Raw genomic sequence first — 17,200 nt, forward strand, 5'->3', positions numbered from 1 at the left:
TACTAATAAATTATACATGTGGTAACTAACAATTTGTCTATCACCTAGAAATATGAGAAAAAACTGCCAGACTCCCTGGCTCTGCAATTCTGAACAAGTCTTTTCATTTTTTTCTTTTCCAAGACCAAAAGCTGTCATTATCCACACCAGTTATACCATTACTCTTGCTGCTTTCACAGAGTCCAACATTTATAATACAAAGTTAGGAGTACAACGAGTGGGATTTGCATTCTGTTTGGAACAGAGTGTTTGACTGCTTAAAATTAAAGAACTAAAAAAAAAAAAAAAAAAAAATTCCCAGAACCTCAAATCACCCCCTAAAAACCAGGAAGTGAGATTCATGTTAGCTTTCCCTAAGTAAGTTTATGGAAGAGATAATGGCAAGAGGTAGGGGCAAAGTATCTGTTCATTCATAATCACTACTGTGCTTCGTTTCTGGGCAAGGTAGTCTGATGAAATTAAAGGAAGTTCTGTGTTACAAGTCATGTGCTTTTATGGGGGAGGAGGTGAGATGAGGTCAATTAACAAGATATGATCTTTCTCTTCTCTCCCTGCTTGTCTCACCCAGGCCTCGGGTGTGCCATTCAACATGAAAGGTGTTGATGCCATTCATTAATTGAGGGTCAGATTCCTCTATCAGCATATTCCTCCCATCTGAGACTGCCTTACCTCCATCCACTTCCACCCCCAACAGGTTTCATTTTCTGCAGCTGCTGTCAAGAGCTACGTGGAGGAAGAGAGTGGTTTTAACAACTGCATGCTCAAATTTATTCTCACTGGCCTCTTGTTTGAAGGAAGTCCAATGTCTAGACCCTGGATGTTGAAACAGGATGTAAAAAAAACACCAAAAAAACCCTGTATATTTGAGAGAGTTTTGAAACCCATCCCAAATACACTCCAGCAATGGAGAAAAATTTGATTTTGGCATAATTTATATACCACATTTCTCCCCGTACCCAACAAAAGTGTATGCTAATGTCTCTATATCACATGATATATCAGTTTAAAATATTCTTTCTCTTTGCCTTTGTTCGTAGTCTCATTTCCACTTTTACTTAAAATTTTAATATCTTCTCCCCAGGTTCTTTATTTATTTTTGCTATATGCCTGAATATAAGACCTAATTCCATGTCACCAATATCTCCCTTGAGAAGCACTGATGTTAAGTAGAATAAAATGTAATCAACACTCATTGTTTCCTACCAGGACAACAGTAGGGTTTAAAACAAAACCAACCTCGTTATGAATTCCAAACGCCCTTCTAAATAACTCTGGGTGCCATTTCACAACCTGACCTGCATAGTTCCTTTAGGCTGCTGTGGGAGTTGTGACTATCCTGTGTCCACGTTTGCATGCTAGGTTGCACTAACCCAGTAAACACATTCTGTATCAGCCTGCAGTTTGTGGAGGTCCGAGCACAACGCATGGAATTCCACCTCTCTGGGGTTCCTGCCAGGTGGAGCAATCCAGAAGTATAGCTTCCACCTGTAGGGGAGGCGCCTGCAAACCTGGCAGCTCTGAGGTCACACTGCTCTTAATTCAGACCACATCTGAGCTCACCTAGCTAGATGCTAAAGCAGACAATTGCAGAAGTGCAGAGGGTGGCAGAGAGAATTTGGGGGCAATGATCCTCAACTCTCACATTCCTTTTGACTAAAATGCATTGTAATGACTCTACCTACTTCAGTAGTGCTAGGAAAGAGATGTGGATTACTGCCTCTGTGCAATGATAAAGCAGTAAGTTATCCGTATTAGTAAGAACATATATACGTTTTTGTAGTTCATCACCATCCAAATTGCCTAAGGTGATGGCCATAAAGAACATTATTTTCAGGCATAAATATAAGTTGGAGACTGAAGGATCTGTAAGAGGAATACTTTCTATCCAGAATATTAAGCAAAATCTATTTTTTTTTTTTTTTTTTTTTTTTTTTTTGAGACGGAGTCTCGCTCTGTCGCCCAGGCCGGACTGCGGACTGCAGTGGCACAATCTCGGCTCACTGCAAGCTCCACTTCCCGGGTTCACGCCATTCTCCTGCCTCAGCCTCCCGAGTAGCTGGGACTACAGGCGCCCGCCACCGCGCCCGGCTAATTTTTTGTATTTTTTAGTAGAGACGGGGTTTCACCTTGTTAGCCAGATGGTCTCGATCTCCTGACCTCATGATCCACCCGCCTCAGCCTCCCAAAGTGCTGGGATTACAGGCGTGAGCCACCGCGCCCGGCCGCAAAATCTATTTTTTAAAGTGAGGTGCCCAGAATGAAGAAAAGATGGATGGGGACCCTTCCCTCCCTCAAGCAGGTCAGATTGCTGGGAATGATGGTCCAGGCTCCTGGCCCCCATCCTTTCCTGTCAAGGCTACACCTAAGTGAGGGTAAAAAATCCTGGAGAAAACCACTGCAGGAGGCAGAAGCCTCCCCAGTGTGTCCTACTTCTGAATTCTGTTATTGGACCAAAAGAGCCCTCTGCTCTTCTCCTCCATATTTTTCACTGTTGCTCTCTGGGTAATCAGAGGCAGAGGGAAAAAAAAGTAACCTTTCCTGATACTCTTGCCCTTGTATTTTGTTCAAAACTCTCTGTTACCAAAGGAATGATTAGGAACCTCAGTTGGAGGTTCTGAAATCAAAATCATTGCGTTGATCAAAGGTAGGGCCTTTCTAGCACTGTTTGTCAGATGAACTCATTTAAAAGTGGATTTCAGGGAATCTTGACCAAGATTTCAGATCACCACACACAAGTTACGGAGACTGTGTTTACTCAGACAATAAGAAAGTACATCTCTTTCTGTAACCTAAACTCTGCTTCTTATTAAGTTTTTACATGTTCAGTCATGCTTTGAGCATTACTTTATTCCAATAAATTAATTTTATCTGTGACTTAAAAGTCTTAATGAGAAGCTATGTAAGTTACATGTGACAGCTGAAGTAATCTGGCTACCATTCATTCTGAAATCTATATTTAAAGTGGGATATAACATTCTTTTTTTCAAAATTTATTTATTTATTGAGATGGAGTCTCGCTCTGTCACCACACTGGAGTGCAGTGGTGCAATCTCAGCTCACTGCAACCTCCGCCTCCCAGGTTCAAGTGATTCTCCTGCCTCAGCCTCCCGAGTAGCTGGGACTATAGGCGCATGCCACCACACCCAGCTAATTTTTGTATTTTTAGTAGAGACAGGGTTTCACCATGTTGGCCAGGATGGTCTCAATCTCTTGACCTTGTGATCTGCCTGCCTTGGCCTCCCAAAGTGCTGGGATTACAGGTGTGAGCCACTGGGCCTGGCTGAAGTGGGATATAATATTGTAACAATGAAATTTTACTATTACATTTTCATGTGTTCACATATATAGTTGAAAAAAATTTTTTTATTAAGTTTTCTTCTCTTTTTAATTGACACAAAATTATACATATTTCTGGTGTACAATGAGATGTTTGATATACATTGTACAAGGATCAAATCAGGGTAATTAACAAATCCACCACCTCAAACATTAATCATTTCTTTGTAGTAAAAACATTCAAAATCCTCTCTTCTAGCTATCAAGTTATTTTGTAATTTGTGTAATATTCTGGTAAAACGGCCTAAACTGGGGTCATATTTCCTCATCAGCCGCATTCTGCTAATGCCAGATGCCCTGGGAAGATCTTCACTGCCATCTTGGAAGGATGCAGAATGTGGTGATGAGGAAGCCATTCTCCCAGGTACAGCAAAGGCAGAGTCTGTTGGCAACCCACCTGAAGGGCAGTAGACTTCTAAATAGCGAGTTGAGGTCCATGTGGGTGAAGCTAAAACCCAGAACACTTTTACTGGCTAAAAATCATGATGATTCAAAACTCAAACCTTCACATGGATGCACCCAAAGTGAATCAACAAAATTTAAAGTCCTTTGAATAGATCAATCTTCTCTAACTAGAAAACAGACCTCATTTTCTCTCTTTGCCATATCATATTCCCAGTAGGCCTGTGCCAATGCCTCTTTGGGTTTCTTTCACTCCCTTTGCAGCTGTTCTTTTGTTCCTGTCTCTCTTTTGTGGCTCCCCAGGGTGATGTGCAAAAAAGCTCCTTCAACCAGGTTTCCACTGTCTTTTTTTCCTACTTAGGATAATGTTCTCCTGCTATCACCCAGGGAATGACATAGAGGGATCTTTCTCCTTCTATATTCATGCAGCTGAGGCACATCTTCATTCTTTTTGTTAATCTTTTTTTCCCAGTTAAGATACATTTTTGTTATGTCCTCTATGGGACACACCTGGGTGTCCATACTACAGTGTGGAGGACCTTGAGGGTAAAATTATCCACAGCCCAGTGGAGTTTGGACACAAAATCTTACATGACTCGATCAATTTCACTTTGCATTTTGCCAGCCCTGAACCTAGGAATCATTCTGTCTTCTTGTTAGCTTACTCTGGTTTCAAATCTAGGTACAAGTCAAACTCTCTTTCAGCTCCTCTGCTACTTGGTCTCCAGGTTCATTGCCTCTGCTTTGGGCTACCCTGGCTTCCTTGCAGAACTATCTGACCCTCTACTGGGGCACTCAGCCCCTGTGTGGTTTCCAAAAGCTGAGCCTCTGTATTTCCTTTCTATCTATCTAGACCTCTTCACATCCTTGACCTGCCTTGGGGCCACCTCAGACCTGGGGTGGCTGATTAGTTGTCTCCCCACCCAGCTGAGGTCACCATGGCTTTCTCCTATCTCCTGTTTCTGAGGTCAGGAGCTGAAATGACACAATTTCCTTCAGGAGCCCACTCTGGCATCTGCAGTTGCACACATGGCACCTGGCTCTCTCTCCCTCTGGGAATCCTCGCCCCGATCCTGGCAGCAGGGAGAGCCCCATTGGGCCCTCCACCTGCTCACGTGGCAGGCAGCCCACACATCCTGCCTGGAAATGCCCCCACAGTGATGCTTTCCTGATCTGGTTTACATCCACCGATCCTGGGTTTGCTTCTTGGTCCCATCCTCCAAGACAATTCCTAGGAGCTTTGAAGAGAAAGGAAGGTCTATGTATATGAGAGGTGATGCCTGCTCTTAATGCCCTGCTATCAGGCCACATTTGGAGGCACAGGTTTTATCAGTTTTGGCCAGACTGCTGTCCACCCAACATAATCAGCACGTACATGACTGAAGGCAGAGCTCTGCTCTAGGGCAACATGTTTTGGGTCCGAGGTAAATAGCAGATACAGAGGTGCTGAGGGGATCACATGAAGTCATGCTGCTGAAGTTACTGTTGCCCTGTACAAAGTCCTTTTTCATTTTTATAAGGACCCCAAGGCACAGCTTTGTTTTAGTAGTGGCTTATATAATTGACTCCCCTCTTTGCCTTGGCTGCTGGAAAGCTTAGCACCAAACCTGAAGGTCACCTAGGGCATAGAATAAACCTGAATGAATTTTTATAATAATCTTAATCACTGGTCCATTTTATATTCTTACCTTTCATTTTTCACTTCTACCCCCAACCCATCTACCTCTAATGTATATTTCCTTGCCAGCCACCTTAAGCCCTTCCTAAATCAAGGAATCGGCAAACATAAAATAAGGTAAACAAACATAAAAATGGGGTTTTATGGAAAACTGAAACAGATCTCTTTCACACCGTTGCTTGGAAGATAAATTTCTAGAGAGCAATAACTACTAAATATTACAATGCATATATTCATGACACAGAAATATCAATTCCAGAAATTTATCCTACAGTCATACTCATATAAGTGTGCAATATATGTTTGATTGCAGCTTGTTTATAATAGAAAAAAGAAAAAGAAATAAGGTAAGTGTACAGGAATGGCTAAACACAGCATGTTGCATGTATACAAGGCAACACTATTCGGCCATTCCGAAATGCAAGATTAATATACATGTCCTAACATCAAGGATGCCTTCAATGTATTAAGTAAAACACAAAGACATTTGTGATTAGGGGTACAAACAAAAATTGTCATCCTTAGCATAGAGGCTTTCTCATAATTCAAGGCAGTATTAAGTAACTAACAGATATGAGAAAGCAAAATTGGAGAAGCTGAGGGAGCTATATTCTCTGAATTAGCACAAGTACAGAGCAAGAGTGTGGGGAAGGCAGGTAGAGCCGAGGAAAGATGAGGGGCTGGCCCCCAAGAGAAAGGCTTTGGCAGTTGAGTATTGTATGTTGGGAATCTTGTGATGTTTTGTCTTCACGTGGTGAGTTTTCTTTTCACTCTACCCCCAAAACCCTCAGTAAAACCTACCTTATTTTCCAATACTTTTGCAGCTGGATTTATTTTGGAGGGAACTGATAAAGTACTACATGTGACCTAAAGGCCAGAAAGGGCCAAGGAGAGAGAGACTGCCCAGAGTGACCAGCCCCATTCGGGTCACCAACCGATAATTAGGTCCCATGCAGAATTAGTTCTGGACATATTGGGAATGGAATGTTGAAGAATAGGGAAAGAGTGGGGGAAAAAGAACAAAAAGCCAGATCAACCCTATGTGAAAGGATGTTTTGGCTTAGTAGATACTAAGGTTTCTTTTCATACCTAGATAACAGAGATTTATGAAAAAGGTGAAAGGATCACAGGAGAGAAGATAAGATGTCAGAGTGTCCACAATTAAACATGTGACAGATATATGAAGTACTCGTTCTGACTACATTAGTTGTTACAGGCATATCAGCATTATCTAAGAAAAGAAAAAAGACGTTTTCTTCATTCAACATTCCCCTCACTGCCCACTGGACCTCTATGCAACTCGGCTTTTTGCTCTCACACAGAACTGCCCTGACTGTTTCTATGAGCGGCTCTCTCTCTTCTGTAACTGAGCACCTCTTTTGGAGCCACTGCTTTTATGTACTGTGTGACCAGCCCAGTGAGGAACTACATGGAGCAGGCCTCATGGATGGGCTTCTGGGGCTCTCAGATCCCTGGAATGTTATGCAAACTATTGTGTACATACATTTTCTGGAGCAAGGGCTCTGGCTGAACTATCAATGGGAAGACTCCACTCCAGATGTCAAGAACCTTGGATTTAGAAGTCTGATGTGGAACTCCCCTAAGAAAAATCCTATTATTGAAAACTTTTGTTACCTCTATCATATTTAGATATGTATATACATGTTTATTTCTCAAGGTAGGTGTTGCACACGGACTTTCCTTAATTTAATATGATGTTGTAATAACCTGGGGCTTTATCAGTCCTATTTATGTTTCAACAGTACAGTCATTCTGAGGGGCTTTTGTTTAGGTTGCTGACTCTACTTGTTAGCCCAGAATTTACTTCCTCAACCAGACTGCGGCTCTTTAGGACATGGACCACATGTTTCTGTGTTTTTGTATTTCTAAGGTCTAGCACAAAGCTTGGCAAACATCTGGTACTTAACAAATAATAAGAGCTCACAATAACTGGGTATTCAGAGTATGTCACACACTGAGGTGTTTGTGATTTCATTCCTTATTTGATAGGTGAGGAAAACGAAGTCTTAAATGCAGATCCATTTTGGGAAGACTGTAAACCCTCGATGTCAACCACTCTATATAAATCTTGTTAAGGGAATGAATGCTGAATGATGGTTAACACTTTCCATTATGTAGGTAAAGACACTAGGTATCAGCATGGGGGCAGGGCAGCTGCATCAGGAACTCAGGTTACCTGTCCTCCATTTAAGTGTGTTTTTCCTTAGAGTTTTCTAATTTTGAAATGGTCTTTATTCCTTATTAGAAATGAAAGTGAGGCCAGGCGCAGTGGCTCACGCCTGTAATCCCAGCACTCTGAGAGGCTGAGGCGGGCAGATCACCTGAGATCAGGAGTTTGAGACCAGCCTGACCAACATGGAGAAACCCTGTCTCTACTAAAAATACAAAATTAGTCAGGTTTGGTGGTGCATGCCTGTAATCCCAGCTACTCGGGAGGCTGAGGCAGGAGAACCGCTTGAACCCGGGAGGTGGAGGTTGAGGTGAGCCGAGATTGCACCATTGCACTCCAGCCTGGGCAACAAGAGCCAAACTCCATCTCAAAAAAAAAAAAAAAAAAAAAAAGAAATGAAAGTGAAATCCTGTATACTAATTGAGCCTATTTCACCTGTCTCTGATTCCAGAACTCTTGTGTATAACAATCTTGCTCATTAGTGGATCAAACTTCTTACTGACACAGAGATGTCACCACGAACATCTATAAGGAAAGCAAAATCTTTCCTCTTCTGCGCACCTTCTCTGTTGGGGATGCCAAACTCAAATGCCTGCAGAGACTAGTAGATCCTGGAAGTGACAAGTGGGCTGGGTGTGAATGTGAACTGGGGCAGCCATGTGGGAGCCCTAATCCATTATGAAGGGAATAGCCACTCCTTGGCCCAGGGTGACTAGATCTTTAGAATTTTAAGAGAAGCCAGAAACACAGATTTTATGTAGAATCTCTTGAGTTTGAGATGTTGATGATTCATTCCTTTTTTTTTTTTTTGAGATGGAGTCTCACTCTGTTGCCAGGCTGGAGTGCAGTGGCGCAATCTTGGCTCACTGCAATCTCTGCCTCCCGGGTTCAAGTGATTCCCCTGCCTCAGCCTCCTGAATAGCTGGGACTACAGGTGCGCACCACCAGGCTCGGCTAATTTTTTGTATTTTAGTAGAGACAGGGTTTCACCATATTGGCCAGGATCGTCTCAATCTCCTGACCTCATGATCTGCCCGCCCCAGCCTCCCAAAGTGCTGGGATTACAGGTGTGAGCCACCACGCCTGGCCTCAAATATTTTTTAAAACCCCAGCACAGGCCAAATAAAACACATCTATGGTTAGGTGGGCCTGTGGGCCACCAGTTTGCAAACTTAGTTTCATCTGGGGAACATCCAGAACCATCTTCTGCCCAGTGTGGCATACTATAGGCATGAAGGAGAGGTAAGATTAGTATTTTAAGTTTTTGTTTGTTAGCATCTCTATAACAAGGTTTAGTGAGGGAAGTGGTGGACAGAGATGTTAAAATTGTTTTTAGACTATCTGTGGATTTCCAATATTCCATCCATGGCCCCAGACTGAAAGTCAAGAGCAGTTGTATGTGTATACCTTCCTTAAGCCACCATTCAATCTTTGTGCTGCACAAAGAATCAGCCTGGTGAGCACTGACACACGACTTCAGCTTTCTTCAAACTGATTGTTAGTGTGCAGCACTCTGTTGAACTTGCAGAAAAATCTACAGCCTGCCTTTTCCCTCTTACATTACATATACTTCTGATGGGCAGCAAGTTGGCCTCCAGCAATAAACAATGAATGACTGCTTCCTAGGCATCTCTGGATAGTCACTGTCCAGTGAGGAAGAAAAGCTTCTCAGAATAATGGAACCTCTCCTAGTAGGGGGACTCTACCTCCCCTTTTACTCAAGCAAGGCTGTGCAAAACATCGAGTAAACTTTCATCCATTCAGGGATCAACTAATCCAATCCATGAGCATCTTGGGCTCTTGGCCTGCTTTTTGGACCACACAACCTCAGAGGCTTTGATGGAGGAAGCCATGAAAAGCCTAACTTAGTAAGACGAGTCTTCTGAGACCTTTAAGAATTTGTTCCTACTCCAGATGTAAGTGTGTTTGGAGATAACTTCCTTGAGTCTTACTTTCTTTAAATACATTAGAGAAATGGTTGTAGGATATTAATGTACTTTGCAAGGCTTTGGGAAATACTAAACACAGTGTTCTCTTCAAAGTGAAGGTGTTACATACATGTTTAGTTTGAAGAGAGATTTATGCTTGTGCATGCACAAAATTTCCCTCTCACTATACCAGCAAATTGAGAATTGTCCAACCTTTTTTCTTAAACAACAAAGGAAAATATTACATCAAATACCTAAGCCAACAGTAACAGAGTACCGAAGTAGGATAATATCAAATATTATGTTCAGGGTGAAATTTAGTTCTTCATATGCTGCCAGGCATGCTCTTTTTAATTTTACCAGAAGAACACATTACTTGACTACTATGGTATTTAGAATTCCTATACTGGAATATTCCCAAGGCTTTTTTGGAAAATATCTAGGGCTGTTTCTAAAACAGCACTTTCTAATTTTGTTAACACCTTCCTTTCCTTTAAGTTAACTTGATAGATTGTGCCTTTCTAAGCTTCAGATTACCTCAGACTTTTCAATACCTAGTTCCAACATGTTATGAGGACAACTCAAAGATCATGAAACCTGGTTCCGCTGTCCAAACATTTACTTCTGTGCTTCATTCAAACTGAATTCATTCACTGCTGTGCTAGAATAACTCTCTATCTCCCGCCTCCCCAGCTTCTCTCACCTGCCTGCCTGCTTCCTGTTGCATCCTCAGTGACACCCCTGGCCTTGTCACACAGCACAGCAGTTCATGTCTTTCCCTGCTCCCATCTTCCCTATACCATGTCTGAACCCTTGAGCCATAACATGGATGGACAGCAGCAAATGGCTCTGTCTTGATGGCAGGGATGGGGAAGGAACAGCAAGGGAGCTGGTGATTCTGCTTAGACCCACAGTGGGCCCCGGGATGACTGACAGTGAGGGAGGCTGTCCCAACACTACTGGAGGGGAAGCTGACCTGCTTTGCAGCTCTTCCCAAGGCAGTCTGGGCCCCATCTGCAGAGAGTCTGACTTAATTATTTTCAGAGTCCCAGATGACCTAATGCACAGTCCTAGGATCTACTAGATGGCCACAGTAGCAAGGGGTAGTAGGACAAGCAAGGGCTTTCACATCAGAAGACCTGGGTTTGAACCTTGGTCTACTAATGGCTAGCTGTAACATCTGGGGCACATCAACTCTCTACTCTAGATTTTCACATTTGTAAAATGGGATAAATGCACCTTCACAGAAATACTCTGAGCACTAATTAGATCAAATGTGAAGTACAAAGTAGAGTACAAAGCTCAGAGATGGGAGTTGAATTGGGGTATATATGCCTTGTTCTGAATTGTTTTTGTTATACCACTAATGTGGTTGTCTCCCACAAGGTCCAGGTTAGGGTGACTCCTTTGATAAAAGGCAAAATAGCTGAGCTGACTGAGCATACTGGGGACCTTACAGCTAATCCTGACATAGGTGCACAGCTGGGCCCCAGCATTTTATGTTGTTTTCATTTCTTAAAAGATAGGAGAAGCAGTGGCGCATGGAGGGAGTAGGGAGTATGGGGTCAGCTGTGCACTCCTCTGTTGTGCTTCTATCTTCCCTCTGCAAGAGAAGAGCTGGCTTAACCATGCAGAGGAATCACATCGCTGGATGCCACCGGACACTGCTCCAGCAGTCCCCACAGGTCCCAGAAGGGAGTTGGCTTTGGCTTCACAAGAATGCTGCCTGTTTTTCAGTAAATGAAGGGACAGATGATCCTTCTTAAAAATCGGCTCCAGGAGGGCAGGGAAGGGGTGGGCAGGCGATCTGGTGGGCCTTGGTGCCTCCGTCCCTATCAGGGGACAGGAACTAGCCCTCTGCCCATGACCAGGCTTTCCTGAGTCTTTGAGGCCACAGACTGGTCACTTCCTCAGCACAAGATCATGTATCAGAAACAGGGACAGAGCAGCTCAGAACTTTGACTTAGGGCAGGGATCTAAATATGGCAGGACTCAAATTCTCTCTTTTGGATATCAGCAAAGGCTCTCGGAACTGTCAGCAGGCTCAGAATGCAGACCTCATGAAGAGCTAACTTTGGACTAGAACAGCAATTTACTCGGGGCCTCAAATCCAACCTTGCTACCAATTTATGATTTATGATGCTGAGGTCAGTCCACTGGGGCTCAGACGGCTGAGGAGCCAGGTCCCTCGCTTTCCAACTTGTCCCTTCCCTCATCCCTGACACTTAACGGGAGGCAAATCAGAAGGAGCGCAGGATGCAAAGGGTTCTCTCAGAAGAGGCCTATACCAAAGCAAAGAGGCAACCAAAGGAGAACATGGGAAGTCTGTGTTCCTCTATCTTTTTCTTATCTCCAGCTTCCTTCATCTTTTTCATGTTTAGTGTTGGCTATTTTTTCCCAACTCCAACATTGAGAAATTAACTGGAAAATACAGAAGCCACTATCATACAACTAAGAGAGAGAAGTTATTAAGCCAGGTTGTAGCAAAAGATTAAAACCTGCTTGTGATCTACAGCTAACTGGATAGGACTGGGGTGGGGGGATATTATGCAATGCTAATGTGGGATCTCGCAATTTTAGGGGGTTGTGGGAAAAGACAATGCCTGGATTTCCAAGGGCATGGGGGTGCTACTGTCTTTTGAGCCATGCCATTCCCTGAGAAGGCAATGTGCCATCCTTTAAGAGGACAGTGGTTCTAGGACAGGCCACGTGGACTGATGAGGAGGAAGGGGGTTGAGGAAAACTTCTGGAGATACTCTATATTCAGAGAAACTCTAGAATAAACCAAACCAGCATAAAGGTACTTAGGAAATAAGCAGGACAGGCACCCCTTCTACAGCAGGACAGGGGGATGTGGAAGGGAGTAAGGAAAGCCAAGCAGGTTAGGTCCAGCCAAGGGGGTAGTATACTGGAGAAAAAGTACAGGAGGTCACGTCCCACAGGTTGAGGTCCATAGGGGAACCAGTAGGAAACAGGATCAGCACAGAATCCAACCTAGGCCTCAAGTTAAAACAGAAGGAGGTGGCGAGAGCTGGGCTTCCAGGGCGGGCCCCTGAGAGCCAGCCACTCTCTTTAAACATTCTTGGGTCATGGGTCTCTTCTAGGATACAAGAAAAACTATAGAGTCACCCCGCCAAGAAAATGCACTGATGCTCACATAATTCTGCTTTTCACTTCTGGGGATTCACAGGTCCCTGAAAGCCAAGCCACAGACTGGAGATTATGAACCCCAGGTCCAGAGGATACTCCTATGCACTGAAGAAAGAGGAGTGATAACAGGAAATACTTGGAGGATTATTTAATCCTTTAAACCTCTGGAAAACTAAGTGGAATAATATGAGGTCTGGCCTGAAACTGGTCTGAATAATACATAATTTGCAGCAAAGATTAGTTAGGCACTTAAGCTGTCAGTGAGTGCATGACTCTAGTGGAAAGGTGGGAGCTGGGAGGCTGGGTGGGAGGCCTCAGAGGCAGCCCTGGAAAAAAGAGGAATAACGAAAAATTGAGAAGTCAAAGGTGGGTGTGAGTGGTGAGGAAACTCTCCCTACTCTCCCCCAGGTGGTGGTGGGAGAAATTTAATTCAGAACAATGGTGAATGGACCTGGAGGATGGGGATTTCCTTTGGGGGGACTACTCTTGGCTTTTGTAACATGCATTTCATACTAAATTAAGGCATATGGTATGCCTACAAAAAAAGGAAAAAATATTTATTTGTGACAGTGAGCCAGGATTTACATTGAAATGCTGCTCTTTTTCTTTTTCTAAAACAGAGGCATTATTACTTTTCATCTGGTCATTTAATTAAACCACAATCTGACTTTTGAAAAGATGCATTTTGGGAAGAATGGGAGGGACAGGGTTACAGTTCTGTGTGCTCTTAGTGAATCATATGATGGGTTTAATTTGATGTGTTTGTGTAAATACTAGATAAAAAAATACTTTTTTTAATCTGGATGAACTTTTATTTTTTTTTTTTTTTTGAGACGGAGTCTCACTCTGTCGCCCAGGCTGGAGTGCAGTGGCACGATCTTGGCTCACTGCAACCTCCCCCTCTTGGGTTCAAGCAATTCCCCTGCCTCACCTCCCGAATAGCTGGGACTACAGGCGCCCGCCACCACGCCTGGCTAATTTTTTTATTTTTTATTTTTTAGTAGAGACAGGGTTTCACCATGTTGGCCAGGATGGTCTCGATCTCCTGACCTCGTGATCCACCTGCATCGGCCTCCCAAAGTGCTGGGATTACAGGCGTGAGCCACTGCGCCCGGCCTACCTGGATGAATTTTTAGAGGTGGTGGGGATACTTGGGTTCTGAAAACACACAGTTGTTTTTGATTCTTAAATACACGTTTGCAGGGAGAGAACCTGACCTTGAGAGTATTTTTCATGCATGACTCTATTTGGTCCCTGGATATAGAACATACAAGGAACACAGTGGGGTGGTTGATCATCCAAGGAAACTCACCTTCTTACAAAAGAGTTTAAATCATTAGCAGAACATGCTCTGCATGTGAATCCATTGCAAGCATATCTAACAGTACTGGGATTTATGGAAATATGTTCATTGTCAAATATTCCCCAAGGATATGTACAGCATAGTGTAACATATGCAAAATAAAGAGCGCAGAAGTAGGAGTCAAAAGACCTGGAGTTTGTAGCAGTCTTGAAACCGTAAGGAAAATGACCTCAGGCAAATTATTAAACATTTCAGACAGGGCCCAAGTGTGCTACCCAAGAAACTAAAAATGCCTGCCACCTCCCTACCTTATAAGTAGCATCAAAAGTGGGCAGGGAGTTAAATACCCACAATTAAAGCATTCAAAATCTCTAAGTATCATATTAACTTATGCCTTTATTATACAAAGCTAAATAATTTTTTGAAAATGTAAGCAATTTTTTGAGCATCTAATTTAGACAAAGTATTGCTCAAGGTAATGTGAATAAACCCTTTAAAAATCGTAGTTTATTATTTTAAAATTAAACTCACAGTATGAAGATTTTAAAAAATATTTCACATTGGATGAACTTACTTCCAAATAAATAGGAAAACAGTTTCATTTAAATAGGTCAGAGTAAATAACATGAATATATAAAAAACTCTAAATAAGTACAATGAGATAGATACCCAAAAATGAACACTGATGAAACTGTCTAGAGTAATATGTAAGGCAAATAAATTTGAGCTAAATCATATGCCTTTTCTCTTTTTTAACCTTAAGAAGACTGCTGACCTTCGTTGACATGCCAGTGTTTGGGAGAGGCACCTGTATGAAAAACTGGGTTCTCTTTAACAAATAAACTTTGATTCTCTGGACTCTAAGAGAATAATACTAAAAGGAAAAAGACATGAGAGTGATGCAATTGGGAGATGAACATCATGAAAAGAAAATTTCAACAAATTTCTGGAGGCCAGGAAGAAGATGGCAAATAGAATAGAATGTATGACAGTTTTATGTGTCAACTTGGCTAGGCTATGGTGGCCAGTTGTTTGGTCAAACACTAGTCTATATGTTGCTGTGAGGGTATTTGTGGATGTGATGAACAGTTACAATCATCTGAATTTAAGTCAATCAGATTACCCTCCATCATATGGGTAGGCCTCATCTAATCAGCTGAAGGCCATAAGGGCAAAAACTGAGCTTTCTTGGAGAAGAAGGAATTCTGCCTCAAGATTGTAACATAGAAAATGAGGAGTTATTCATTAGTGGGTATAAAGTTTCAGTCAAACAAGATGAATATGCCCTAGAAATCCACTGTCATTCTTGTCTTGACATTATCAAGAATAATACAGGGTGTACTTAAACATTTGATACGAGGGTAAATCTCAAGTTTTGTTCTTACCACAGAAAAAAAGAAAGAAAATAAAAAAGACTGTAACATAGAATTCCTGCCTGAGTTTCCAGTCTGCTGGCCTGTGCTATGAATTTGGGACTCAAGACTGCAACATCAACTCTTAACTGAATTTCTGGCATGTCTGCCTGCCCCATGGGTTTTGGACTTCCCAGCCCCCACGACTGCGTGAGCCAATTCCTTAAAACAAATATTTCTCTGTCTTTCTTTCACCCCTCTGCCACTTCCCCATCCCCCAACCCCCACTATGGAGAACCCTACCTGATACAAAGCAAGAATGAAAGAGTCTAGAATATATTGGAGAAAACTTCAGGAAAGTCAGAGGGTGGGAGTGAGCTGTCCAGCAACATGCCAACAAAACCCCAGGCCCACTGGGAAGCTGCAACAGAGACTGGGATTTCAAGTCCGGGTGGAGAAGAGAGAAGTGAACTGAAGTCTGCCTAAGGGACACTGTGGGTACCCCTCACTCTCCTCCCCTACTCCCTGCCTTAGGTCCATGCACTGCACTAGAAACCCATGATTTTACTTGGGGGCCAAATATCAGAGGACTCTTGATCTATAAAGAAATTGAAAAACTGCCTGGATATAGTAGATAACATTAACATTACGGGAAGCCGCATGAGGGACATACAGAAACTCTGTATTATTTTAGTAACTTGTCTCTACGTCTAAAATTAGTTCAAAATAAAAAGTTAAAAAAAACTGTCTAGAAAGAACTAGGAGGGCCAGATTATATGCAAACACTCTAGAGTAAAGCACACCCCGCCCCCGTCAAATCCCCAGGTATTTAAATCCTTTGAATCCCCTTACCACACACACATAAACTCCTGACTAAAATCCAGCCCATTCTCAGTCTTGATCTGAAAGTGAAACTTCCAGGAGACAAGCCCCCCACCCAACATCAAGGTTCCATGCAGATTTCCTATTCATAGGCAGCAATAACAGGAAACCGGATCTACATATATAAGAGCAGGGGAAACCCACACCATCTGTGAAGAAAAATAAAACTCAGCCCCTTGCTCTTAAATACAGATGGATAACCAAAGTTCACCACTCATATCTAAAAACAAAACAGAAACACCAAAGAGAAAAGCCAAGTAATTAAACATGGCCCCTGACTCCTGAAGACACAGACAATTCAGACCACATAAGAGAAGTTTAAAAGAGAACTCATGCTCTGTTTTCACAGGGATTATTAACATCTTGATCTAACAGACAGGAGAGTCAAGATTTAACTACATAAATTGGGACAAGAAATTGAGGTTTAAAACTATTATTTTAAGGTACAAAGATTATCACTAGAAAAGTTAAAATAATAACTATCAGTTGAGGAAGGGAGAAGGATTATGAACAAATAGCAAAAAGGCAAGAGTATAAGCTTATTATTATTATTACTACTATTACATCAGGCAAGTAAACTACTATTACATCAGTGAGCATCTATTACCACAGAGACATGTTGTCCTTGGAAGGGAACCATGGCTTTTCATTATAAGCATTTCTGTGCTATTTTATTTCTTAACCTATATATATACTATTTTCACAAAAACTTTAAAAGGGAATAAAGAAAAGATGTTTCTTCAAAAATATCCTCTCATGGATGAAAGAGGAGATTTTTAAATGTAGTTAACTCCCACTGGCATCAACAACACACTTCATTGAAGAAAAAATGTCTACAATAGGACTAGGCTGAGGTGGGAGGATCACTTGAAGCCAGGAGTTTGAGACCAGCCTGAGCAACATAGTGAGACCCCATCTCTACAAAAATTAAAAAATTAGCAGAGTATCCTCGTGCACACCTGTACTCCCAGCTACTCA

The 17,200-nt window shown here is 42.4% G+C and overlaps 1 protein-coding gene across 3 annotated transcripts in view, besides 4 other annotated features; it reads right to left on the reverse strand.

Moving 5' to 3' along the window:
• Positions 1-17,200, reverse strand: part of MARCHF3 (membrane associated ring-CH-type finger 3) — a 162,845-nt gene that overhangs the window by 104,259 nt on the left and 41,386 nt on the right. The window lies entirely within an intron of this gene.
• Positions 492-581: an enhancer, noted in NCBI's record as "active region_23029". NCBI's record gives its function as "activates an Ori minimal core promoter by ATAC-STARR-seq in GM12878 lymphoblastoid cells {active_cell/tissue: GM12878}" and the evidence as "EXISTENCE:reporter gene assay evidence [ECO:0000049][PMID:35858748]".
• Positions 602-651: an enhancer, noted in NCBI's record as "active region_23030". NCBI's record gives its function as "activates an Ori minimal core promoter by ATAC-STARR-seq in GM12878 lymphoblastoid cells {active_cell/tissue: GM12878}" and the evidence as "EXISTENCE:reporter gene assay evidence [ECO:0000049][PMID:35858748]".
• Positions 16,175-16,254: an enhancer, noted in NCBI's record as "active region_23031". NCBI's record gives its function as "activates an Ori minimal core promoter by ATAC-STARR-seq in GM12878 lymphoblastoid cells {active_cell/tissue: GM12878}" and the evidence as "EXISTENCE:reporter gene assay evidence [ECO:0000049][PMID:35858748]".
• Positions 16,265-16,444: an enhancer, noted in NCBI's record as "active region_23032". NCBI's record gives its function as "activates an Ori minimal core promoter by ATAC-STARR-seq in GM12878 lymphoblastoid cells {active_cell/tissue: GM12878}" and the evidence as "EXISTENCE:reporter gene assay evidence [ECO:0000049][PMID:35858748]".

This window comes from Homo sapiens, chromosome 5 (genome assembly GCF_000001405.40).
Source record: "Homo sapiens chromosome 5, GRCh38.p14 Primary Assembly".
NCBI classification, from domain to species: domain Eukaryota; kingdom Metazoa; phylum Chordata; class Mammalia; order Primates; family Hominidae; genus Homo; species Homo sapiens.